The following is a 25,470-nucleotide window of genomic DNA, read 5'->3' as shown; positions in this document are numbered from 1 at the left end:
TACCAGTTCAATATGAATTAACAGGTGGTACGGCTGTAAAAAATACTAAACAGTCTTAGGATGCACAATAATAATAAAAATAATAGCAGCAATGATTTCAGAAGTGCCTATTATGTGCCAGGCATGTTCCGTCAAATACTTTATGTAATTTTTGCAGGGCATTCATTATTTTCCTCCTTTTAGAGATGAGGATGAGACATATAAATTGTTAGTCCCAAGCCCACAGCTGATCAATGGCAGGACTGGGATTTTAACTCATCTGAATCTCCCAAGTTCCTACCCTGTCCTCTCTGCCACCCATCAGCTGTCGCCTGGAGAACAGAGGAAGGTGGCTTTGAATTTAGTTCTGGGCCTTGTGCTTTAGGGGGACTGGGGACTAACTGAACTGAATGCAGAGGTGGATGGGTGGAGCAATGGGGCCTCTGAACCACAGCCCTGGGAGGTGGCTGAGGGAATTAGGATTGGTTGTTGCCGTGGAAATACTGGACCCCGGGGGAAAGAGAGTGTGTTCACATAGGTCCCCTGGAGTACCGTTTTAGTCTAGTTAAAAATTTTCTACTTGAGGAGGTGGAACTAAGAGTGGATTCTTTTCCTTATAAATGAATGGGCCTTTGTTTAAAAAAGGGATGTAATAGATGCAACTGCAGCAAAAGTGAGCTCCTGGAGCTGCCTCCTTAGGCTGATGAACTGGAAGAGAACTCTTAACCCTAAAGGGCAGGAAAAGGTTAAAGCTCCTCATTGCTGCAGACATAGCAGGGCAATAAGCCCCTGATAGCAGAAAAGGGGAGCACCCCAAGGCACTCACTCTGTAATCCGGGTCCCCAGGGACTCAGCCTGCCTCCCACAGGGAGAAGGGCAGATCTGCCCACGGGAAAGAGGGTTTCAGCAGATACAGAGCATGGATCTGCACGTGTCCAGATGCCTCAGGCCACCCAGAGAGAGCATCGTGGGCCTCTGTGCTGCGTGGGGCTTGCTAGGTACTGCTATACTGTGAAGCACCCAGGCAGCCTGGAGCTGCACGGCCTGCGCATGAGTCCAACAGGTACAAGCTGTTGTGGGCTTATAATGTCAGCACCTAAGCAGGAATTGAATGCAATCGAGTTGAGTTACCTGCCTCCAGGTAAATTAAGTTAAATCCTCATTTAAATTAGGAGACATGGGTGAGGGCCTAAAGGGGCCAGGACACAGAATGCCCAGGCTTTCAATAGGTGATATTCTCAATAGGTGATAGAGGTGAAGGGTGTGGCACCTCCCTGGAAAGGAGCACAGCTGCGGTCACCAAGTGAGGCTGTGGCCTCCATCGTAAAGGCCATGTGGGGCGGCAAGTGACCGACCACAGGGCACGGTAAGTCAGCAGGGAGCGACCACCAGGATTCCTTACCAAAGTTGGATTCCTCAGTCTCTGCTATGCTACCCTCAGAGATTCAGATTCAATTTTTTGTTTTGTTTTGTCCCGCTCTATTGCCCAGGCTGGAGGGCAGTGGTGTGATCTTGGCTCACTGGAACCTCTGCCTCCTGGGTTCAAGTGATTCTAGTGCCTCAGCCTCCCGAGTAGCTGGGATTACAGGCGTACGCCACCACAACTGGCTACTTTTTTTGTGTTTTTTAGTAGAGACGGGGTTTCACCATGTTGCCCAGGCTGATCTCAAACTCCTGGCCTCTAAGTGATCTGCCTGCCTCGGCCTCCCAAAGTGCTGAGATTACAGGCACGAGCCATCGTGCCGGCCCCCGATTCACTTTTTAGGAGGGGACATCTGTGTCATTTCCAGGTCTGGCTATTTTGAATAAAGCAGCTGTGAACATTCGTGTACACATTTTTGTGTGATGTAAGCCTTCATTTATTTGTGATAAATGCTCAGGAGTGCAGTTGCTGGGTCGTACAGTAGTTGCACATTCATTTCATATTTTACGAAACTGCCACACTGCTCTCCAGAGTGGCTTCACCATTTTACATCCCACAGCAGTGTATGAGTGCTGCAGCTTCTCCACATCCTTGCCAGCGTTTTATTTAGTAGCTAAGTAGCTACTTTTATTTTAGCCACTCTGGTAGGTATGCAGGTATGCAAGGCCATCTCATTGTAGGTTCTTTCTGTGTCTTGTTTTGTTTTGTTTTTTTTGAGACAGGGTCTTGTTCTGTAGCTTGCCCGGGTTGGGGTGCAGGGGGCAATCATGGCTCACTGCAGCCCTGACTTCCTAGATTCAAGGGATCCTCCCGCCTTAGCCTCCCAAGTAGCGATTTATAGGACAACAGGTATGCAGCACCATGCCCAGCTAATTTTAAAATTATTTTGTAGAGATGGGGTCTTGCTGTGTCGCCAAGGCTGGTCTCAAGTCTCCTGGCCTCCCAAAGTGCTGAGATTATGGGAGTGAGCCACCACGCCAGCCTTCATTGCAGTTTTAACTTGCTTTTCTCTTTTTTTTTTTTTTTTTGAGAAGTCTTGCTCTGTCGCTCAGGCTGGAGTGCAGTGGTGCGATCTTGGCTCACTGCAAGCTCCGCCTCCTGGTTTCAAGTGATTCTCCTGCCTCAGCCTCCCAAGTAGCTGGGACTACAGGTGCCCGCCACCACACCTGGCTAATTTTTGTATTTTTAGTAGAGACGAGGTTTCACTATGTTGGCCAGGCTGGTCTTGAATTTCTGACCTTGTGATCCGCCTGCCTCGGCCTCCCAAAGTGTTGGGGATTACAGGCGTGAGCTACCACGCCCGGCCAACTTGCTTTTCTCTAATGGCTGGCGATGTTAATTTTTTCACTGGCTTATTTACCGTCTCCTTCTGTGGAATGATCTGGCTTAGAAAATGAACAATTCCACAGAGGTGCTATAAAAACGGGCAGGGTGTCAAAAGCCTTGGCCTCCTGTTTGGGCTTTGCCTCTCAGGGCTTCAGGTGAAGGTGTTTGGTCATCTCTGAGGTCGCTTCCTGCTCCCAGTGTCCTCTGACTCCAGGATAGAGTCATGCCCCTTGGCGGGCAGCCCGGTGGGAGCTGTGGTGTGTAGGAGGCCCGGACGGCGGCCCCTGCCCACATGCCATCACCTCCCAGCTCCGTCTCCACAGGAGCTTACCCAGGCTGACTCACAGGTGCTGTATTATTTAAGGAAAGTTGTTTATTGATTGTTGGGGCCTGGAAATAAAAAGAAAAACAAAGAAGCAGATGCAGAGTGTCTCCTTGCCACCTCCCTCTGGGCGCCTCCGAGATGGTGGCTGAGGACCAGGCCCCACTCTGGGTGAGGCTTCCTTTCCGCCACTGGTGCTTCCCTTTGTCTCTCTGCAGCCTGGGCCTGTGCTTTGGGTTTAGTTTTGCAACATAGTCATGCTGAAGGTCCCAGAGATGCTTCCCCTTTTTATTGTAATTAAGCCAAAAAAGAAACATGGGGTATGTAATTTAGAACTACTCATAACCACAGAGATGGAAGGAATTTTCTCTTTAAAGCTAGCACTAGATTTCACCTTGCACCCTAGGCCACTTGCCCATGTCCTTGCCATCTTTTAACTCCTGTCTCAGGAGGGGGCAGCAGAAAGTAGTCTTGAGAGTTAATGGGATTGCTACTAGTTTGAGTACCTGCGGGAGGATTTGGTCTCCATCGAGAAACAGGGGAAGATGTCATCTGCTTAAGAAGGTATTTATGTTTGTTTTTCTGCCCGGTGATATACATGAACCCGGTAGTGTGTGAAATAAAGCATCTTAGTCCTCATTTCAGTGAATCAGAAGAAACTAAAAGGCATGGTTATTTCTCCCTCGGTATGATGAAGTCTATATAATATTTGCAAAATCTCCTTTGGTGAATTTGTATAAACAATCTATCACAAAGAAAGTATTGTTTTCTATATGGGCTTAAAGGATTTTTGGAAAATGGGCAGAGGATTTTCCCATGTATTCCCTGAGCCTGGGGAATGGAAATCATCTCATGGAGACAGATGACCACAGGCTTTCCACCCAGTCCCCGTGGCCCACTAGAATTGTCCAGCATGTTTCAGTGGTTATTTGATTGGGCTCAAGACCAAAGTTGGAACTGAATCAAATGATGGTTTGGTTCAGAATATTTTTCCGTTTTGGTACGTTTTGAAAACCTAGGTTTGATGCTGGTTGCAGTTGTTCAACAGATTTTTTAAAAAAAACTTTGAGTACAACACACACTGAGGCCTTTTGCGGGTGGAGGTAGGGAAAGCATCAGGATAAATAGCTAATGCATGTGGGACTTAATACCTAGGTGATGGGTTATAGGTGCAGCAAACCACCATGGCACTTGTTTACCTATGTAACAAAACTGCACATCCTGCATATTTATCCTAGAACTTCAAATAAAATAAAAACATTTTAAAAAGAAAATAAAAAGAGAAGATTTTTAGAAAAAAATAAAGAAAAAGATTTTAGAGCCACAGAATCTCTTTTTAGAGTATGGGAAGAACAGAAATTCTCTGGGTAGAGCAATTTTTGACAGAAGATGATTTGGGTTTATATGAGATATACAAAACTATTCTTACGCATTTTTACTGCATGCCACAACTTGGGATTTCTTAGTATTTTCCACATCAACCACACTACTTTAAGTCGTCTGGTTAGAAGTGTATGAACATGTTATAAGCTCAGAAAATGGCATGTAAAAGCAATAGAGGGCCAGGTGCGGTGGCTCACGCCTGTAGTGCCAGCACTTTGGGAGGCCGAGGTGGGCAGATTGCCTGAGGTCAGGAGTTTGAGACCAGCCTGGCCAACTTGGCAAAACCTCATCTCTACTAAAAATACAAAAATTAGCCGGGCATTATGACGGGCACCTGTAGTCCTAGCTACTCAGGAGGCTAAGGCAAGAGAATCACTTGAACCTGGGAGGCGGAGGTTTCAGTGAGCCGAGATCTTGTCACTGCACTCCAGTCTGGGCGACAGAGCGAGACTTCATCTCAAAAATAAATACATAAAAATAAAAGCAATAGAGTATTACAGTGTGAATCAGGAAATCTTGCACGTTTTGAAGGTTTCAAATGACTTGGTTTAATAAAGAAAGAAAACTTGTAATACCTAGAAAATTGACGTTGAATGGGAAAAATAAAACAAAATATTGCTATACAAAAACCTCTTGTTACATTCCTGACTCAATCTGATATTTGTGTTTGGTTTATTTGAATACATAAAATATATTATGGCCATTGGTGAGTAGTTAGTTCATTTTGATTCAAGTTACTTCTCCAGATGGCATCATTGTTATAAAATTTAATTTCCGTGAACTTACATTCTTCCAGGATGGTTGTGTGTGTTGATCTTCTGGTTTCTTAAATCTTCTGGGTCAGAGTTACTATACTTGCATTTGTGCTTCGCAATGAACTAGAATAAATACTTTCTATTAAAACCAGCAGAGGTTTTGCTAAAGAGAATGCACGCACAGGCCTTGTCTTTTTGGTGCAAGGTAGAGGGTTTTATCTACTACCTGCGACTAACTAGCTTTCAGAAAAGAGTGAACTAACGCTTTACCCATGGAGTTCACAAACGTTCATGGTGTACTGGCAGTAGGGATACATGTACAAGCATAGCTTAGTTCCTACCTTCTAGGGATTCGAAGTTTAGTAGAGGAGGCAGATTGTAATACCTAATACCTATTATGCTTTTATTATGTGGTAGTCATTGAAGGAGAAGTTAAGTGACATGTCTAAAATCATAGTAATAGAAGAGTCAGGCTATGAACCAAGATATTCTTAGAGTTTCTCATCGTTGGCATTTAGGGACAGATACTTTTCAGTTGTGTGGGGCTGCTCTGTGTACTGTAGGATGTTTAGCAGTATCTCTGGTCAGTAGCACCTCCCCCCATTTGTGACAACCAGATGTCTCCAGACATTGCCAAATGTCCCCCATGGGGAGAATCGCCCCTGATTGAAAAGCACTGCTCTAGAGCCTGCTCTTGTGCCCACCACTCTGTACTGTCTTCCCAGATGAGTGAATGCTATGGGAGAGAATAAGCATGTTTACAGTGTGAAGTCCCAATTCCTGCTGACAGCAGAGGACAGATGCCAACACTACCTAGGGTGGTGGAGAAGAGAAATATTCTCAGATATGGTGCCATTGGAGTTGAATTTTGAAGGGATTCACGTAGTCAGAGAAAAAGGAAGACTATCTGGAGTAAAGGGATGTGTGTGCACAAAAGCATGGCAGCAGGAGGAAGCAGGGCAACCTTGAGGATGACAGGTAGTTTTCTATAGACCCTTTAATTTACTCTTCAGTGCTGTTCTCTTGTTTCCTCTGTTCAAACAGCAAGCCAGGGTTACAGCAGCTCTTCATGTCATTCTTACTTCAAATCAAAGGTGTTGTGTTAGTCAGGATGAGCTAGGTTATGTTGCAGTAACAAACAGCCCCAGAATTGGCAGCAGAAAACAAGAAAGGTTTATTTTCTGCTCATGCCACATACCTGATCTGGGTCAGCTGTGGTCTCATGGTGCTGGTTACTGTACAGAGGGAATGAGAACATGGTGAATCACATACTGACTTGTAAAGCTACATTCCAGACAAGCAACACTTACCACTTCTGCTCACATTTAATTGGCCAGGTAAGTCTGCTGTCCTCACCTAATTTTAAGGGGCCAAGAGAGTAGAGTCCTACCATGTGCCCAGGAGAACTAGAAATATTTGGGGACAGCACTCAGGTGTACCATAGATGTCAGAGGCTCATACCTGAAATGTTCAAGCACACACAACTCATTGTCTGCTCTCTGAGAGCCTCCTAGCTTGGCTTTCAAGAAGGGCCCTTTGCCATAGACGGTCAAGATTTTAAAAAATATCAATTATCTGAGTAAGTCAAGGAAAGTCCTTGTGGGACCAGGTCACAAGCCCTCAGTTTTTAGAGTCAGGATGTTGGGGTGGGAGTGATAGAACTGATTGAAGTCAATATAGCCTGGATGTGGTAGATTGTTTTATGTGGAGGGGTAGTTGTTCAGGACACTGATTGTTATCTGAACACCCAGGATGCTTTCTTTGGCTGTCACTGTAGTAAAAAGAACAGTTTTAAAGCCTGAGCCAAGTGTCAAGCAGCAGGAGGGTGTCCTTCGTGAACTCTGAATTTATGGGGCTGAGTCTGAGAGCGAAGAGATGCCAACAGTAGCGACTGAGAACATTCTGGATGATTTTAGTAAACCCCGAACAAATTCCTTATACACCAAGGAGCATTCTCCTTGTTAGAAATTCCTCCAGACCACGACTCTGGCCCTGGCCCTGGGGTGAGGAGATAGGGTGCCTGGCCGTAGTGGATCTAAAACGGGATGACACCGGAAACCTGTGGGGAGGACGCCGTCCTTGTCGCCCCTTGACAGAGGGGGCACAGAGGCCTTAGAGAAACAAAAATAAAAATAGCAATTGTTTGCCACTTCCCTCCCTAATAAAGTGTTCTCTCCAAACCTGGTTTCCACTCTATTTCTGAACTGTTTCGCCCCATGGTGTGTAGGAAGCCAGGGTAAATGTGGGAGTGGGAGGAAGGGGACACAGGCAGCAACTCAAAGGAAGGCAGAATTAGTAGCCGTCTGGGAACCGGGGGCGGGGGCATTCTAGAAATGCGAAGAGGTCGAATAGCCAGCTGGGTCCGGAGTCTCCTCACCTCTGGTGTCTTAGCGGAGCATGAGTGTGTATGTATGTGTGTGTATATGTGTGTATATTTATTTGCGCATATGCACGTGTGTATGTGTGTGTGCATGCATGTGTGTATATGGGTAAGTGTGCAGTGTGTGTTTACGTGCATGCATGCATGTATGGGTGTAGATATGTGGGTGTGTAGATAAGTGTGGGTGGGCACATGCGTACACCCACTGGAGGGGTGCGATGGAAGTTGTGTGCAGCTGCGTGAGCGTTACTGACCATCCTGTGGTTTGCTGATAGCTGCTTAATCTGGGTTGTGTGTTTCCTCCCTCCCCAAGCAGACACTCAGGGTGCTCCGTGATGCACCGGGACGCTAATATTTTCACACCTGCAATCTGTATTGTTCTTTTCTCCTTCGGAGAGCAATATTGCCCTTCTGGGTGCTTAAGCAGGAAACACAGGACCAGATAATTTAAGAGGAGCCTTAATGCTCAGGGCCAGAACAGACAGACGGGCCTGAACAAGGTCACAGGCCGTCCAGGGAGTGCAGGGCTAGGGCAATGCCAGCCCACTTCCTTCCAGCCGAGCGCTCCCTTCACGGTGACCACCTTCCCTTCAACGTCTTTGTTTCCCGGCTGTAAAATGGGCATGTTGCATACAGCTATGTAGGAAGTGTTTGCAAGTGCCCAGGCTCTGGGAATTTGAGTAAAGAAGGCCCTTTGTCAGTGGCGCACACAGCCTCGGCTTTCTTCACCTTGTCAGTTGTCCATTCAGGTGGAGTAGCTATGAACACCCACTTACCCTTCACGTATCCTAGGATCAGGACTGTGCCTGCAGTGACCACGAAGGCTGGGGAGCCAGATGGCTATGGACCTCACGAGGGCCTGCCAGTTCCCAGGAAGGGGGTCTGGGCTGCCAGGACAGGGGGCAGCAGCAGGACTCAGAGAGAGGGGTTGCCTCGCAGTGAGCCCTGCCCATCTCTCGTGCGGTGGGAAGGTGGTTTAAACCCTGCCCTTACCCCATGCTCTGAGGTCTCCGGAAGACACAGGTGCTATATATAAAACTAAGACTATTATCTCACTCTTGCTAAGTTTCCACCCTCGCGGCTTACTGTACACCACCGGGGAGAACATTTCCTGAAGCCCTTCTCCCGGAGCTCTGAGGCCAGGGTGAGGGACGCCTTCTGAGAGAGAAAACCTTCCCCGCAGGGAGGCCTTTTGCAGAACAGGGAGGAGAATAAAAATGTCCAGGCAAATGCCCAACCTCACCCTAGTGAGCTTCCCACTAGCTGAGCTGGGGACCAACATGGTACCAGCCTACAGGGAAGCCCCTCATCTTCCCCCTTTTGCCTTTTAACATGGAGTCTCTGGGTCAGGGATGGACACGGTGGTGAGGGATGCTAAGTATGAGCAGACACCCTAGTGGGTTCAGCTCAAACTCCAGAGGGGATGGGGATGGGCAACACTCCTGAGGAACTTCTGTTCAGCACTCGTCATCGCCAGGACAAATGATGGGAGGTCCAGGTTGGGAGGTTTCCATTTAAGCGTTGGTTCCTTGCAATTTCCCTGGGTAGTTTTTTCAAACAACCCATGATTGTCATTTTCGGTCGGACGATCCCCATTGTTTGGGACTGTCCAGCACACTGAAGGTCACTGAGCATCTGGGCATCTGGGCCTTGGAGCACTATTTGCCATTGTGCAACATACACAACACACACACACACACACACACACACTCTCTCTCTCTCTCTCTCTCTCTCTCTCTCTCTCTCTTTCAAAACACCCTCTAGGGCTGGAGGCAGGTACTGCATCTGGTTAGGAACCACTGCAAGGAATTATTTACCTTGGCAACATCTCAAGAGGATATCGAACTGGAGTCAAAGGATTTTGGGGAGGTGGAGTAGGAAGGAGGTAGAGGATGTTAGGCTGAGAAATGTCCTGTCAGCTTGGACATGGTGTTGGCCAAATTTTTTTAAGTGAAGAATTTTCATTTTTTTTGTCCTATTTATGAGCACCCAATTGACTGAGCACCCTCAGTTAATTGGAGAATCTTGTGCATTTTGTTTGGCTTTGTTTTCATTCTTTCTTAATAAGAATGTCTTAATAAGATGTCTCTTAATAAGCACTATTACCTGTGGGGCCAGCTTCATGAATGCAGTTGCACAGGCCGCATGCTCAGAAGGGCCCTGCTTTTGGGGTTGAATGCCTGGCCCATTGCTGCCTTGAAATTCTTAATAATTCTTTGAGTTGGTGTTTGTAAGTGAAGTCCAGTGGGACAATGAAGCATGAATTCTCTGGGCTCCAGTCCCACCTGACTTCCTTCTCCCCACCCCTGGCAACTACTGACTCTTCTGATCCCATCAGGGGCCTGGGTGAAGGTTCAGGGAGGGATAGAGTTGGCGTCACTGGTGTCCCAAGGCAGGGTGTGGTGGCCATCCCTACCCCAGGCTGGCAGGGCCAAAAAGTGGACAACTGCATGAGAATCCAGCTCACTCCAGATCCAAATACCAAGCGTGTCCCAGCATGAGTGTGTAATCGCTTTGGGTCTGCCCAGGCAGGTGTGTGGGAAGAGGGGACCTCTCTGCTCCTGGCCCAGCACCTGGTAGAGGACGGCAGTAGACGCTTAAGAGTGGCCAGAGTCAAGGGGCGGGATCCCAGCATCTTGTGAGACTCTGCACTCATTAAACAGCAAATAAGAAACACTGTATCAAGTTGAGAGAAACCCTGCAGAAGAAAGGAAGGAAACGGTTTATTTTAGTACGTTTTATGGCACTTTTTTCCTGCTTTTTGAACAAGGGCGCTGCATTTTTACTTTGCACTGGGCCCTGAAACTTACGTAGCTGGCCCCTACTTGCTTACTTCATTGCTATCTGCAGTTTCTGTTTATTTTCTGTCTCCCGTTTCTAAAAAGAAATAACTAGTTAAAAGGGCTCACCATGAACACAGGTGCTTCCATTTGTTTCCCCCTTTCTGTTCTTCTGAGGGACATTATCACCAGCCAATCACCAGCTGCCCCACCCCAGACTTCTTTTCCAATGCTACCTGTTAGCACGGCACCTTCTGAAGGAGGCCGTGAGTCAGGGGAGAGGAGACAGGGGCAGGGAAGACAGATTTATCTGTCACTGGGATGTGGCTGAATTTTGTGGTGGGTGGGTTGTGAATCTTCCCATTAGGGAGTGATTTCTTCCCAGGTAGTTATGAGCTAGTGCTGGCCCCAGGCAGGATGCTGTCAGGATACTAGACAGGGAACCATAAAGCAAGGTTGCAAGAAATGAGGCTCTGCTCTCATCAGCAAGCTTTACTAAGGGACTCTCTTCAAGCAGGGAGATAGTGCTGCACCAAACAAGTTAAGCACTGTCCTTGGGCAGGAGTATCATGCCGTAAGACATGGCCCAAGAGAGAATGACAGTGAGGAAACCTAATTGCAGGTCAGGTGGGCCTGTAGACAGGGACAGGTGAGGGCTAGGCCCTGCCCACTGCCGCTTCTCACCGTTGGTCCCCAGTCATGGAAGTTTCATATTTAGACAAAGGAAGGTCAGGGAAGTATCACGTCTTCTGCTTTACCTAGGAAGTTCTTGTTGGGGGGAAGTTGGATGTCAGGAGCCACTGTGCCTGCCTCTACCCTAGTCCCCTCCACAGCCTGCTGCATAGTTTCCAAGTGTCCCAGGACCGCAGTGACACCCACCCCACCCATACATTTTAAGTGTTAGCCACTTCTTGTCTGTTACTATAAAATGCACATCAGACATTCCTAGACCCATCGGAGACCTGGAGAGGCCAGACACTGGACATCCTCCTACCACTGGGCCAGACACACCCACGGCAGCCCAGACAGGCAGCCCAGGGCAGGGGAGGCCATCTCTGTTTCTGGATGTTGCTAGCCTGGTGCCTCGCCAGGGAGGGGGTGCAGCCAGAATAAAGGCATGAGACATACTCATGCTAAAAAGTCACTTGTTGTTTATCTAAAATCCAAACGTAACTGGGCATCCTGTACTTTTTCTGGCAGCTCTAACCCAGAAGGCAGTTTTGTCACAGCCTTTGTGAAATGGGTGAATCCAGAAAGGAGACAGCTGGTGGCCCAGAGGCCTCTGGAGGTCCCCTATTGAGGGGCCAGACGTCTGGGGCTCTGCTGCCCACTGCTGCCACCTGCTTGCTGTACCATCTGGAGTTGTTCTGAGGCCTGGTGTAACTCGTGTTCACCAGTGTCTTCTTCCGTCTCCCTTAGGCTCTCCCCCAGAATGGAATACAGTGAGGGGCCTGGCAGAATACTGGCCTAGGGCAGCATGGCCTGCCAGGCCTGCATCAGAAAGCTGCTCAGGCTTGCTGCCTCACGAGTTAAGATGCTGTCAGCTGCAAGTATCAGAAAACTGCAACCCAGTAGAGTTGAACAATAAAGAAAACACATTCTTTCACCTTGATCAGTAAGTCCCAGCACAGGCAGTTCTAGCATTGGCTAATTCATCAGCATAGCAGAGTTACTGAAAGACCTGTGTCCTCTGCATCTCTCTGCCCTGTCTCACAACGTGTTGACTCATCTTTCCTCGTGGTTGCCAGATGGGTGCTACAGGGCCTCGTGTCCTGTGTGGAAATGATAATATCCCTTGGAGGAAAAAGGGGATGGCTCTTCATGGTGTCTAAGGCCGAGACATCTTTTTCAGAAGGCTCCCAGCAGATATCCCCTGTGTCTCATTGACCAGAATGTCTCGAGTTACTCGTGCCTAAGTCAGCCTCTGGCATGGGAGTGGCTTATAACAATTAGTATTGACTCTGGGAGTAGCTCCAAAGAGCATACATTTGGGTGGGTCTCAGTTAGGTCCCTTGAGCTGTTATTCTACCAACGGTTTGAGGCAGGTTTGATTTATTTTTTGTTCTTTTTGGTTTTTAACAAAAACTTAAACATTACAGAGAAAGAAGCTAATGATAACCATGACTAAATAATGATAACCACGACTAAATGAATGATTTAACTCATTCTAGGTATTTACAATCGTTGTAAATCCAATTTGGTCTTTGATCAATTGCCTAATTTTGTTTTACATAATTGCAATCTGATTGTACTAGTTTTATCTTTTATTGTTTTAACGTCATTTCATACAGTAATCAACTGTGTGGTCTGATTCCTGAGTGTGAACTTTGAGCTACTACATCATTTACATCATCTTACTCCTACCTTTGGTGGGTAGTTTCCATATTTTGTTGCAGTTATTGCCATATGCAGCCATGAGTATTTTTGTTAAAATGACCTCTTTTCTTCTCCCTTTAGTGACTTCTTGGGAAGTGTTCCCCTCAGTGGTACTGCTGGGGCAACGTCCAATACCAAGAATGATGTATAGCATATTTCATCTTCCTACACTACTCTCTGGAAAGACTGAGCCAATTACGGGGTCATCTGTAAAGTCTAAGTGCTGCAGTTTCCCTACGACCATTGGATTTTGTTTGTAGTTTGATATTGTCTTACTGTCCCTTGAAGTTGTAATTTGTAATTCTTTAGTTTTCAAGAGGGACTCTACATGTTTCCTTGTGATGATGGCCTTGAGTTACTCATGTGTACACTGCCTATTTATCCCCATTGAGCCCCCACTGCCCGAACATGTTGATGGCATTTTATATAGTAAGCTGTCAGTTACTTAATGTACAAATATTCTTCCATTCCATGTTTTTCTCTTAAAATTTTACTTTATTGGCCAGGCGCAGTGGCTCACATCTGTAATCCCAGCACTTTAGGAGGCCAAGGCGGGCGGATCACCTGAGGTCAAGAGATTGAGACCAGCCTGGCCAACATGGTGAAACCCCGTCTCTACTAAAAAATACAAAAATTAGCCAGGTGTAGTGGTGGGCACCTGTAATCCCAGCTACTTGGGAGGCTGAGGCAGGAGAATTGCTTGAACCTGAGAGGCGGAGGTTGCGGTGAGCCGAGATAGCACCACTGCACTCCAGCCTGGGCGAAAGAGCTAAACTCCATCTCAAAAATAAATAAATAAATAAAAAATAAAAAAAGATTGTACTTTATTTGGCAATAATGTTTTTATTCTGAATTATTCTACTAGGTCCCTTTATTTCCTTGTGAAATTGTTCTTAATTGCGCTGGCCTGGAAATAGAGCCCATATGGTACTGGAGGGTGATGGTTTTTCATAATTTTTCTTATGCAACCACCCTTAGTGATGAGTCCCTAGAGGATTGAACTGTGCCTCATTCTGTGGACTGGACTTTTTGGAAACCCCTTTTTGAGCCCCCAGGAAGAAATTTGGCTGAGAGCTGATGCCTGGATGCTAGCCAGCTGGCTGCTGGCCATATCCAGCCACCCCAGTCCCCTGGCCATCTGTGCACCTCGGCAACAGAGTGGCGACTGACACACCCAGGCCCAGAAAGCCAGACAGACTGGCGGCTGGAAACTTCATGGAATCCTTGTAATTAGAAATGGAAAAGACCTGTTAGCTCGAGTGGTATCCTCCTCCTCCTCCCACAGGCCCCAACCAGCTTTAGAAGGTGACATATAATTTGCCCTGTCACCTGGAGCACTCAACTGAGTTTTCTGGGTCTTATCTGTGAAATCCAAGAGCTGGACCAAATCAGTGTTTTTTAACCCCTTTTGGGTCTTATGCCATTTTGGAAAGTGGTAGAAAGCCACACACCCTTTTTCCAGAGAGAGGCACATTTCACAGGCCATGTTGCCCTTTCAGGACATTGATAACAAGAAGCCTGTCTAGATCCTAGCCCACAGTCTTCAGGTTTGGAACCCAAAGACTTGTTGATCTCTGAAGTCCCTCTCAGCTCAGAAAACCCACATTCTAGAAAGTTTTCTGTCAAGAACCCTAGGTATGGAAATGGATAAAAGGGAGTCTCTTGTACTTAACTTGGAGGAAACCACTGTCCAGCCCAATGGGTTTCACTATCAAGTATTTTTATTTATTGTTTTATCATTTATTATTTTCCAGGATTGAGTTCAACTTGTGGTACCACGTTCTTTCCCATCATCTTAATCTTTCTAAATTTCGTACTGCCTTTGATTTAAACAATTGAACTCTTACAGGTTTGTGGAGTGGAAATGGGATTTACTTGGTTTTGACCTTCACCTCACAGGAGGGGGATCATCTTTCTGGCAATTCCCAGCAGATACTAGCCTCTGCCTGCTGACCCTCAGCCTCCTCTTCCAGCCCTTTAGCAGCTTGGAATAAGAGGCAACAAACTGGTTGGGTTGATGTTTATGTGAACATATGGGTGCTTGGGAGTTGGAAGATGTGAGGGGAATCCCTTCTGATGGCTCTACAAGTGCTTTCCCAGCACTCTGGGCTTGCATGGTTCCCAGGGACTTCAGAGTTTCTAATTCCTCAAATGACCTGCCTGACAGGGAGTCCTAAGAAATGATTCGGGCCTCAAAGATCTGTCCTCAGGGGTCAGGAGAAAACATGCAGTATAAGTTGATATAGCTGGAGAGGGGATGCCTGCAACCTCCAACTGTGGAGGCCAGCCTAGCCTCCCGGAATGGGGTGGAGGCAGTCACAGATACAAGTCTCCTTGGTGGGAAATTGAAGGTATTCAGGCCCGTATGTGCCCATAGGCACATCTGCATATTTGGATTTGACCCAGGAAGCTTGGGGAAGGAGGGAGAAAATCAGAAGCTTTGACATCATTTTTTTTTTTTTTTTTTGAGATGGCGTTTTGCTCTTGTTGCCCAGGCTGGAATGCAATGGTGCGATCTTGGCTCACCGCAACCTCTGCCTCCCAGGTTCAAGTGATTCTCCTGCTTCAGCCTCCCGAGTAGCTGGGTTTACAGGCACGCGTCACCACGCCCGGCTCATTTTGTATTTTTAGCAGAGATGAGGTTTCTCCATGTTGGTCAGGCTGGTCTCGAACTCCCGACCTCAGGTGACCTGCCCGCCTTGGCCTCCCAAAGTGCTGGGATTACAGGTGTGAGCCACTGTGCCTGACCGACATCAAGTTGTATGTTTCTGGACTCTCCTCTCTTCCTCTGGCCATCAGAATGTTCTCACATCAAAAATGTGAGATGAGGGATAAAGGAATTAGCACCTAAATGTTTTACATAATGTTAGGATAATTTTGCTCTGTGGGAGAGTGGCCTGAATGTGGGGAGCCTTTGAGTAACTGACCTATAACTTTTCTTAGGCCCTTCTGGTTTTATCCCAGTTACTGATGCTGTTCTTATCTCCTATCTATTCTGGAATTCATCTCTGAACATTTAATACATTTGGCCAAGCAAGAGCAATGCTGTGATTCTTTTAAAAAGTACAAGCTTTTGCCAGTACTTCTTTCAAGTTGTAAATTTTATGAGGAGTTTGTTCCACTGTGCAAAGGAGCCTCTGACTTTAAGAAAAGTCATTCCAGCTCAAGATTTCAAATGAAGTCGAGGCTGTGTGTAGTCACAGGTTTTCTCATGTCATCGGTAGAGATAAAAGCCTCTTAGTTTTAGACTGGGCACAGCATTGTTGAACGTCCATTACTTACTGTTTAAGTAGCCAATGATCTCTGAAAAAAGCTTGGCTGTAAAGTTGGCAGAATGATGCACTGCTTTGTTTCAAGCCACTGTAAACTGTCTTTCCCAGTGTCACTTTTATCTCCAGTGCTTTTGTCACATGTTTTTGCTCATTTCCCCAAAGCGGAAAAATATTGCATTCCCCAGAATGACAATTTTCATTGCTGCCCGCTCAATTCAGTTTTTCATAAATGCCCAGGAAATAAACTAGCTGAGTTATTCTCCATTCTCACACATCTTCATTAGCACACACGAGAAGCTTTTTTACAGGGAATTCTCGTGTTGACCAGGTATGATAACCTGTTGCAATGTGGGTAGTCTTGGTTATATTAATGTTTTTAAAGATAAGTAGTGTTATTACTTTATTGGTCATGTATAATTACATCGGAGATCTAATTATTGAGAGTTAACAATGCTTTGTAATTGGTATTTTACGGCATGCTAAACATTTTTCTGAAGTGCTTGTACTATTAATGTTTATATTCTTTATTTCGTAGTCACTCTTTTTTCATACTGTAAAGGTAAACGGAATTCGGCTTAAGATTGAATTATCAAAAATTTTCAGGGGTCTAAACAAATAGTATTTAGAGTCCGACCCTCCCACTGTTTGAGATCTAGGAAAATAAAAGCCTTGGGCGGATGGGTTTCGGGCAGAACCGCTACGCTCTGCAAGCTGACCGTGGAGTTGGGCACAGTGTCATCCAAAGAAATGAAGATTTTTTTTTTATTAGCTCTTGAACAAAATTAATTAAAAGTTGTTACTCTTGGGGGTGAGGGGGACAAGGAAAGACAGGATTTGGGAGCCTGCTGACCTACAGTTCAACCCTACAAAAAGTATACCCATTTTGCAAATGAGGAAACCCAGACTGAAACACATCCTTTCTCCCAAGCCGGAAGCTGGCGGCCAGCAGCGCTGAGATTCTTTTCGTAAGCAGCAACAGCAGCCCCCTTGTCTTTCCCGCCTGGGGGAGCGCAAGCCAGGGGTGCAGGTCAGCATTTCAAGCCCCGCTACTGCCTCTGCTGCGGGCCCGCTAGCGCTGGCGAAGGCGACAGGGGCGGCCGCCTTCCCGTCACGTGACCGGCACCGCCGCCGAGCATGCCGGGAGACGGCGCCCCCTCCCCGGCCGCGGGCTTCCGCGCGTGGGCGGCGGGCAGAGCGCGCGCGGGAGGAGAGAGGAGGTGGGGGCCGGGCAGCGACAGGGGAAGAAACCGCGGCGAAGAAAAGCCCCCTGTAGAGCAGGCCCTGCTTCACCGCCCTGCCCGAAATCCCCCGCCGCGCCCCTGCCTCGGCCAGCCAGCGTCGGGCGGTGGGAACCGGGCCTGAGCTGAGGGCGGAGGGACTCCGGCGCCGTCCGTTCATTGTAAACAAATCGAGTGAGAAATGGAGGCACGCCTGGTTCCTGGGTCCCTTGGTGCAGGCTTTCACACCCCGGGTGCTAGCACTCGGTCTTTCTCCTGCGTAGGGGATAGGATTGTGTGTGCAGTCAGGTTTTTCTAGTAATATCTTGCACTTTTTTTTTCCTTCACCCACTCAGACATTCCCCATTTTTCCTCATAATCACTTTCTTTCGCTTCAGCATACACACTTAGCCCTTGGCAGGCAAAGTGGAATCTCGGGTTCTTGTCAGACCTCAATGTTTAAGCTGCTGAAACACAGGGCATATTTGGTTTAGATGTTTTACTGTTATGAAAATAAACCACCTCCTGCAGTTACACCAGCTCAGATTTTCCCTCGATAGGGTCAGTGTGGATTATCTATTGGAGGAAAAATATTTAATTAGAAAGGAATGAAATTCTCTTAGTTCCTTGAGGTTGGAAGGAGCTTAGGCAAGGAACAGTTAGTTAAAGGTAAGCACAAAAAATGCCAGGGGACCAAGAAGCCACTATTGGAATGCAGTATCTGTTGGCTGCTGGTTTAGCACACTGCCCCAGGCTTCCCGGTTGGGACTCCACTCAGGTCCTAGACTGACAAAATGGGAAGGCACCCTCCCAATGGGTCTTCATTACCATCTGCCGAATAAAGAGAATACCAGTAGTTGTATTTCGTGCATTTCTTGGAGCCAAATGATTGGATTAAATCTAGTCCCTTACTGTGCAAGCGTAGTCAATTTTGGTCATCTCTCTCTAGGCCTAGTGCCAGTTGTTGCCTGCCTTTGTAACCAGATAGCCACAGTGAGGTCATCAGAAGAGGATAGGCAGCGCTGCAGAAGGGAATCCTTTTTCTGTACCTCACCATGATGAAATAGGGGTAGCCGTCAAGTTGAACTTTCCCTTTTTTTTTTTTTTTCCGAGAGGGAGTCTCACTGTGTCGCCCAGGCTGGAGTGTAGTGGCGTGATGTCCGCTCACTGCAACTTCCGCCCCCCTGGTTAAAGCAATTCTCCCTGCCTCAGTCTCCCGAGTAGCTGGGATTATAGGCGCCCACCACCACACCCGGCTAATTTTTGTATTTTTTAGTAGAGACGGGGTTTTGCCATGTTGGCCAGGCTGGTCTTGAACTCTAGACCTCAAGTGATCCACCCACCTCGGCCTCCCAAAGTGCTGGGATTCCAGGCATGAACCACCGTGCCGGGCCAAGTTGAACTTTTCTCTTGGGGGAATAATTTCCCTGCTCAACATAGACCTGGTGGAATTTTCTTGTCTCTCTCTTCCCTGGCATTTTCTCTGGTCTTAGGCAAGCATTTCCTGCCTTTTCTGATTCCCTCTCTGTGTGTGCATGGGACTTAGGGGAGGAAGGAGGAGGGAGTTTTCTGTTAAGGGAGCCGTGAATGAGCAGGAAATGGCTATTTGGTACCAGTTATTCTGCAGAATTAGGGAGTGCTGATGCTGACAAGGAGTCAGAAGGATTCAGTCATCATGACATCTGCAGTCACAACTGGGTGGGTTAGTGAGCGCCCCTGAAGTGTGTGTACTCATTTCAGGCGCAGCCAGCAGCAGAATTTGGGAAGACTGTCCCACCCCTCCTACTCCCTGTGTGCTGACAGTTTGCTGTGTGCGTCTCCATGGCTCTGTGGAGCTTAAGAGATTAAGTCCTTGGAGAAAATGGGTAAAGTGAAGTTTTTTTTTTTTTTTTTTTTTTTTTTTTGAGACGGAGTCTCACTCTTTCGCCCAAGCTGGACTGCAGTGGCGCTATCCCGGCTCACTGCAAGCTCCGCCTCTTGGGTTCATGCCATTCTCCTGCCTCAGCCTCCCGAGTAGCTGGGATTACAGGCGCCCACCACCACGCCCGGCTAATTTTTTGTATTTTTAGTAGAGACGGGGTTTCACCGTGTTAGCCAGGATGGTCTCGATCTCCTGACCTCGTGATCCGCCTGCCTCGGCCTCCCAAAGTGCTGGGATTACAGGCGTGAGCCACCGCGCCCGGCCAAAGTGAAGTTTTTAAGTAGGACTGTTGTTAGGAAGATGTTAGCACAGTTAGAATTTGTAGGAATTCTACTGTTGGGGTGTCACTTTCTGTTCTGTTGAAATGATACTTCTTCCAAAAGCAGGAGTTCTGAGCTTATATAGCAGACAGCCTTGCTGCGGCTCACACAGACCCTGCGTGGCTAGCTTCTGGTCAGAGTGCCAAAAGCATTTGAAGTGCCTGGAGGTGTGTTAGCATTAGAATCAGTGTCATTGGGTAGCTGGGACATTGTGAGAAGTCTTGTCCACGTCTATAGAAACAGTTTCAGACTGACTGCTTGCTGGTTTCTCATTGAAGGCACCGTGTGCTCCATGTAGTGCTCTACGTAATCTAACATCCAGAGTCAAAGCAAAAGCTGCAAATGATGACAAACCCAGATCCAGAAAAAGACACAGGCCTTGACAAGGTGGTGAATTTCTTCTGAGCTTCCCAGCATCTCTTTTTGTGTTCTCTTCCTCTCTTGCTTGAATTTTGTTTGGGCCCCCACTCCCTTCTCATTCTGATAAAGGTAGAGGGGCTCAGAAGGTGGTGTTCTGCAGGCAGTGTAACCTTTGGGAAGAAGAAGCAGGCTCTGGAGTCAGAGCCTGAGTTTCAATCCTAGCCTGGCCAATCACTAATATCATTCTAGGCAAGCTATTTTCTGTGAAAACACTTTTGGCATTGGGTTTATGTGGGAACTCAGCAATGTGTGTAAAGCGCCTCACATATATATTAAATCGTATTAATAGCTGTGATGATGGTTAATACTGAGTGTCAACTTGATTGGATTTAAGGTTGCAAAGTTCTGGGTTTTTTTTTTTTTTTTTTTTTTTTTTTTTTTGACGGAGTCTTGCTCCGTTGCCAGGCTGGAGTGCCGTGGCGTGATCTGGGCTCACTGCAATCTCCGCCTCCCGGATTCAAGTGATTCCCCTGTCTCAGCCTCCCGAGTAGGTGGGACTACAAGCGTATGCCACCATGCCTGGCTAATTTTTTGTGTTTTAGTAGAGACGGGGTTTCACCATGTTGGCCAGGATGGTCTCGATCTCCTGACCTTGTGATCCGCCTGCCTGGGCCTACCAAAGTCCTGGGATTACAGGCATAAGCCACCGTGTCTGGCCAGTTGCAAAGTATTGATGCTGGGTGTGTCTATGACGGTGTTACCAAAGGAGATTAGCATTTGAGTCAGTGCACTGGGAAAGGCAGACCCACCCTTAATCTGGGTGGGCACCATCTAATTAGCTGCGAGTGCAGATAGAAAATAAAGCAGGCAGAAAAACGCGAAAAGACTAGACTGGCCAAGCCTCCCAGCCTACATCTTTCTCCCTTGCTGGATCCTTCCTGCCCTTGAACATCAGACTCTGAAGTTCTTCAGTTTTGGGACTTGGACCAGCTCTCCTTGCTTCTCAGCTTGCAGACAGCCTATTGTGGGACCTGTGATCATGTGAGTTAATACTTAATAAACTCCCCTTTATATATTTATCTATCCTATTGGTTCTGTCCTTCTAGAGAACCCTGACTAATAGAATAGCTTAGTGTTTGTCTGTCTTTCTTTCTTTTTCTTTCTTTCTTTCTTTCTTTTTTAATTAATGAAGCTCTGCTGTACTGGGTGCTATGAAGAATATCCCAGAAAGGGCTATTCTCAAAAAGCTGACAGTAAAGATGATACTGACTAACGTTCATTGAATGCTTAATATGCTCCAGGCATTGTTCTAAGTGGTTTGAATATTTTGGCTTATTTAGTCCTCCTAATGACCCTGTGAGGTAAGTGCTATTAATATATCTATTTTGCAGATGAGGAAACTGAGACTCCAGAGGTGTTAAATGACTTCTCAGTTGTCCAAGAAAATTCTAGTATGTGAACACAGTTCTTCAGAGCCCAGACCTGCCTGGCCGCACTGTTGGGCTCTTAACTGCTGTAGTCTACACTGCTGTAGTATAGGCTCACGCACTGGGGAATCTGACCGTGTCGTCAGCAGCCCGGAGGGTGCTTGGCGGTGCAGAGATCCTCAGAGATCATCCTCCAGGTACACAGCCAGAGCAGTCTCTGTCCTGCTCTTGCACCTTTCCTTTCTCTATAGCATTGCTGATGTGACCAGGAGGCATTGCCTTCAGCCTTCCTACAGAACAGATAGCGCACTGAGTACTTTCCTTCTAGATGAGACTTTTCTCAGTTGGCCTGATAGGACCTTATTATCAGCATACTAGAAAGCCAGGGCTGCTTCCTTATGAGAGGTAGTGGGGGTGAGGGGAGGCCAGAGGGCCATGGAGAGTTCAAGGAACCTGGGGAAAACTTAAGGCATTGTTCCTGCCTGCCACCTCTTCCCTGTGTCCTTCATAGCAGTTGGTAGAGTTTCCAGGTGAGACTGGCTTTCTAGTTCTTTCTTGCACTGCCCAGCTCAGCCCTCTTAATTTTAAGCAAATAGGTGCAACAGGTTGGAGAGGGTACCAGCCTGAGATATGACCAGGGTAGCAGAGCTAGTCTTGTCTGGAGACTATCAGCAGATCTGTGACTATGCAGTCAGCAGGACAGGATGAGAAGCCAGTCCAGAGCTGAGCTCTAGCCCAGTGGCCTGGAGCAGGGAGGGCTGCCCCATCTGGGATGCTGCTTTCCATAACCTCCTGCAGATCATGCCTGTCCTCTTCCTAGTCTGACCTCTGCCAATAGTTACCTAACTTTGAGGTTGGCAACCTGGGAAAAAGAGTCTTCCATTTTTCTCCAGCCTCTGATGACTTAGCAACGCCTCATTCATATATAAATGAACAATTCCTGTCACCTTGGCCTCTGTCTTTTCCAGAGATGGTTTAGTTGGTTTAGTCTGGGGAGAGGCAAAATGAAACGTGAAGGCACACACTTTCCAGTCTTACGATTCTGAAAGGTTGGTCCTCCTCTAATTGGCCCAGTGCCTCCATACTCTGATTTAAGAGAGGTTTCTCATCCCCCTAGCAGTCAGCATCCCTAGCCCTGCCCTTCTGGCCTCTAAGGTCAGCTCTGCTCAGTCCAGAAATGAGCTGTCGTAGCTGCTTTAGGGATCTTAAGGAGTCTGTGACCTTTCTCATCTTTCACATGAACAGAAATTTCCTGAATATCCACTCTGTGCCAGGCAGTAGGCTAGGTGCTGTGGAAACAAAAGATAAATCAAACAGAGCTTCTGCCCTGAAGGTGCTGTCCAATTTGGGTGATTCCCCTTGGCCCCTTGACAGTTACACTGGTGACATTTAGGGGACAGAAAACAAGATTTGAACCGGTTGGGCAGACAGATTCAAAGCTGTCCTTCAGTCTACAGTGCTGTTCTGCCCCGGGGGGAGTGTCCTTCCATCTGTCTGGAGAGTGCAGTGCATAGGACTCTGCCTCTGAGTTGAGTGGCTCCCAGCCTGTGGGCAGCCAGTTGTGGCTGTGACCGGGCTGCCCCCAGGGGGTTTGGCTCCTCTTGGGGACCCCTTATCACCCAGATGTGAGGGCACATCTGCCAGGGCAGGCCACAGAACTGTGGTGTTCCTAGGGCAGCTCTTATGTGGAGAGTTCTGGGTTGGTGCAGAGGACCCTAGAGAATTGTCTATTTCACTAATGCCACCTGGGGCAGGTCCCCACTGTCTTCACCACTAATCGCCTCCCTTCTCTAGCTCCCATAGTTGTGGTGAGGAAAAGTGGCTTCAGTGCTCAGCAGAGTGCTTGGGACTGCATCAAGCCCAGTTCGCCTATCAGGTATGTTTGATTTCAGCTTATTCCTCAGAAGAAATGGCCAGCTATTGTTTGCAGAGTTGGAGAATCACGCACAAAGAGATTCCCTCACCTGACCTCTGACACCCATCTCTCCAGGGATGATGAGAAGGGGAACCAGGGCCTTCCTTGCTGATGCCAGGGCTGTGTCTGCATCACAGTGCTCTCTTGTCTAAAGGGGGAAATTCTGTTTCTCATTTTGCAGCACTGTGTATTCATGATCTTTTCAGATTTGCTTATTGGTGCAGAAAGGGGAAAGAGTCTAAAGTTTCTTGAATCTTTGCCAGACACTGTACTATGCCTCTGAATGCATCATGCCTTAATCACGCCTCACAGCAACTATTGCTACTTTCATCTTTCAGACAAGGAAACAGGTTCAGAAAGGCTAACCAAGTTGTGACAGGCACCTAGCCTGAATCAGTGGATTTCTTCCTGGACCCACCAACATTTAGTTGACGCTTGCCCAGGTTTCTGCTTTGGTGAACTATATTCTATTGCTCTCAGATAAGAATACCTCCAAATTAACATGAATCCATTTGTTTGGTGGTTGTTGATATGATTTGTTCCCAAGAGGCCTGGATGAATGAACTTCGTGGTTGTGACCTCTTTTTAATTAGTGATGCTGTACCTGTCCTTCCTGTAGGAAGCTGACATCATTGAGTGTGAGCTGTGTGCTGGGTTTTTTCCTGGGAATGGGGACAGGTTGTGCTAACCCCCCGGCCCCTAGTCGGGTGCTGCAGAGGACACTCAGGCCTCAGGGGATGGCTTGGGCTACATCACCTCTGCAGTGTCTCAGCTCTGAGATTCTCAGGCCTTAGTAAGTGTGATGAGACACTTAGGAAATACTTGGAGCCCTAACCAGATGTAAAGACTGCGTGTGTGTGTGTGCGCGTGTGCGTATTTCCTCATTGCTGGTGCTAGCTGTGAGTTCTATGGAGAAAGCCAGCCATCTTAGCGGTTGCTTGGTCTCCAAGGGGACCCTGAGAAATAGCAGCAGCTAGTAATGCTCCAAGCTAGTAATTAATACTCCAACTAGAAATTATGTTCTCAGAAAACAGTAGAAAATACAGGGGCCGGGCATGTGCCATTTCGTCTCTAAGTTTTGGCCTTGTCGGAAGTGGAAGCCGGTGTCCAAGATAGTAAAATAAGTTGCTATCTACGTGCCAGGGATGTACATTATAACTAAAACTAGCTACCAGGGAGCACCTTTTATGGGCCAAGCATCTGTGTTGAGAGAGAGATACATATACACACACACACACACACACACGTAGATCTATATATGTGTATATATATGTGTGTATATATTTCAAATTAAGTCTCACTTAATCCCATACCAAAACTATGAGATAGATATTATTATCCCCATTTCACAGATGTGGAAACTAAGGCTTAGTGAGATTAAGTAATTGGTCTAAATTCACCCAGCTAGTGACTAGTAGAGCCAGGGTTTTAATCCAGCATAGTGAATTCCAGAGATTCCCAGGTAGGGGCATTAATGGGTGGGTAATGGGCCAAGCTGGGTGCCCCGGGCAAGTAGCAGGAAGGAACTGAATGGAAGAAGAAGCAGCATAGCATGTAAGTGAATATTGGAGGGCTGGGAGTAATTAGTCTTTTCCCTCTGCTCTGCCTTTTTCTTATCCTCTTCCCTTTGCTGGCCTTGCATCCGTTTCCTCCCCCTCCTCCCCGCTTCCCTCTCTTCCCTCATCTTACTGTCTTGCCCCCTGGGTTTGGGGGGCTCACAGTGACATTGTGGGCCCTGCCATAATTTCTCCACTTCCCTTCTTGTCTTCTCCCCCGTGTCCTCTCCCTCCTGTCCTTCTTCTCTTCCCTCTTGCCATCTGTCTTCCAATTCTGCTGCACACCGACTCTTGCTGCGGCTGCCAGAGGACAGAGTGAGGATGGAGCAGAGCCACGTTCTGTAGGGGAGGGGGAGGCCCCACAGGTAGTGTCAGGTCTGCGGCAGGTGTGAGAAGAGAGAGAGGATGGCGGGGTTCAATGCTCGGGCAGCTGGCCTGGGTGGGAGTGTGAGAGATGCCTGGACTGCTTGCCCTGTCAGTGCAGCCAAGATTATGTTGGCATCTGTGGAGTCATGCAGGACTGCCAGTCTCTGGGCTGAAGGTTAACCAACCCCCTTTGCCAACCTTCCATACATTAACTGCCATAAAATGCCATGAGTGCCAGTCTCACTTTGCACAATTGATTTATTTAAAACCAAAATATGGACCTTCAGTCTTTTATTATTGGTTTTGGCCTAGAATGTCAATCAAGATAATTTTGACTCTTGATTTTTGTAATTTATCCTGTTCATTATCCCTCCCAGCTTTCATTTATTTAT

General features: G+C 47.3%; 1 protein-coding gene across 2 annotated transcripts in view, besides 8 other annotated features; it reads left to right on the top strand.

The window, feature by feature from the left end:
* Positions 1–25,470, top strand: part of ITPKB (inositol-trisphosphate 3-kinase B) — a 107,593-nt gene that overhangs the window by 18,562 nt on the left and 63,561 nt on the right. The window contains exon 3 of one of the 2 annotated variants that reach the window (NM_001388404.1): positions 12,806–13,551. The exons of the other annotated variant lie outside the window; for it this stretch is intronic. Coding sequence (NP_001375333.1) covers positions 12,806–12,808 — 3 coding nt within the window. The 3' untranslated portion in view covers positions 12,809–13,551. Of the gene's footprint in view, positions 1–12,805; positions 13,552–25,470 lie in introns of those variants that run through there. 2 annotated transcript variants of the gene reach the window in all.
* Positions 2,530–3,029: an enhancer, noted in NCBI's record as "H3K4me1 hESC enhancer chr1:226905393-226905892 (GRCh37/hg19 assembly coordinates)". NCBI's record gives its function as "activates a minimal SCP1, AML or CMV promoter by ChIP-STARR-seq in primed H9 embryonic stem cells {active_cell/tissue: H9 hESC(primed)}" and the evidence as "EXISTENCE:reporter gene assay evidence [ECO:0000049][PMID:30033119]".
* Positions 7,702–7,771: an enhancer, noted in NCBI's record as "active region_2669". NCBI's record gives its function as "activates an Ori minimal core promoter by ATAC-STARR-seq in GM12878 lymphoblastoid cells {active_cell/tissue: GM12878}" and the evidence as "EXISTENCE:reporter gene assay evidence [ECO:0000049][PMID:35858748]".
* Positions 8,272–8,351: an enhancer, noted in NCBI's record as "active region_2668". NCBI's record gives its function as "activates an Ori minimal core promoter by ATAC-STARR-seq in GM12878 lymphoblastoid cells {active_cell/tissue: GM12878}" and the evidence as "EXISTENCE:reporter gene assay evidence [ECO:0000049][PMID:35858748]".
* Positions 8,712–8,771: an enhancer, noted in NCBI's record as "active region_2667". NCBI's record gives its function as "activates an Ori minimal core promoter by ATAC-STARR-seq in GM12878 lymphoblastoid cells {active_cell/tissue: GM12878}" and the evidence as "EXISTENCE:reporter gene assay evidence [ECO:0000049][PMID:35858748]".
* Positions 8,962–9,011: an enhancer, noted in NCBI's record as "active region_2666". NCBI's record gives its function as "activates an Ori minimal core promoter by ATAC-STARR-seq in GM12878 lymphoblastoid cells {active_cell/tissue: GM12878}" and the evidence as "EXISTENCE:reporter gene assay evidence [ECO:0000049][PMID:35858748]".
* Positions 11,927–12,102: a silencer, noted in NCBI's record as "fragment chr1:226896320-226896495 (GRCh37/hg19 assembly coordinates)". NCBI's record gives its function as "represses an EF-1alpha promoter that drives an FKBP-Casp9 reporter gene in an ReSE screen in K562 erythroleukemia cells {active_cell/tissue: K562}" and the evidence as "EXISTENCE:reporter gene assay evidence [ECO:0000049][PMID:32094911]".
* Positions 17,020–17,449: a silencer, noted in NCBI's record as "silent region_1889". NCBI's record gives its function as "represses an Ori minimal core promoter by ATAC-STARR-seq in GM12878 lymphoblastoid cells {active_cell/tissue: GM12878}" and the evidence as "EXISTENCE:reporter gene assay evidence [ECO:0000049][PMID:35858748]".
* Positions 23,465–23,514: a silencer, noted in NCBI's record as "silent region_1888". NCBI's record gives its function as "represses an Ori minimal core promoter by ATAC-STARR-seq in GM12878 lymphoblastoid cells {active_cell/tissue: GM12878}" and the evidence as "EXISTENCE:reporter gene assay evidence [ECO:0000049][PMID:35858748]".

This window comes from Homo sapiens, chromosome 1, assembly GCF_000001405.40.
Source record: "Homo sapiens chromosome 1, GRCh38.p14 Primary Assembly".
Taxonomy (NCBI): domain Eukaryota; kingdom Metazoa; phylum Chordata; class Mammalia; order Primates; family Hominidae; genus Homo; species Homo sapiens.
This window is presented reverse-complemented; position numbering and strand designations above follow the sequence as displayed.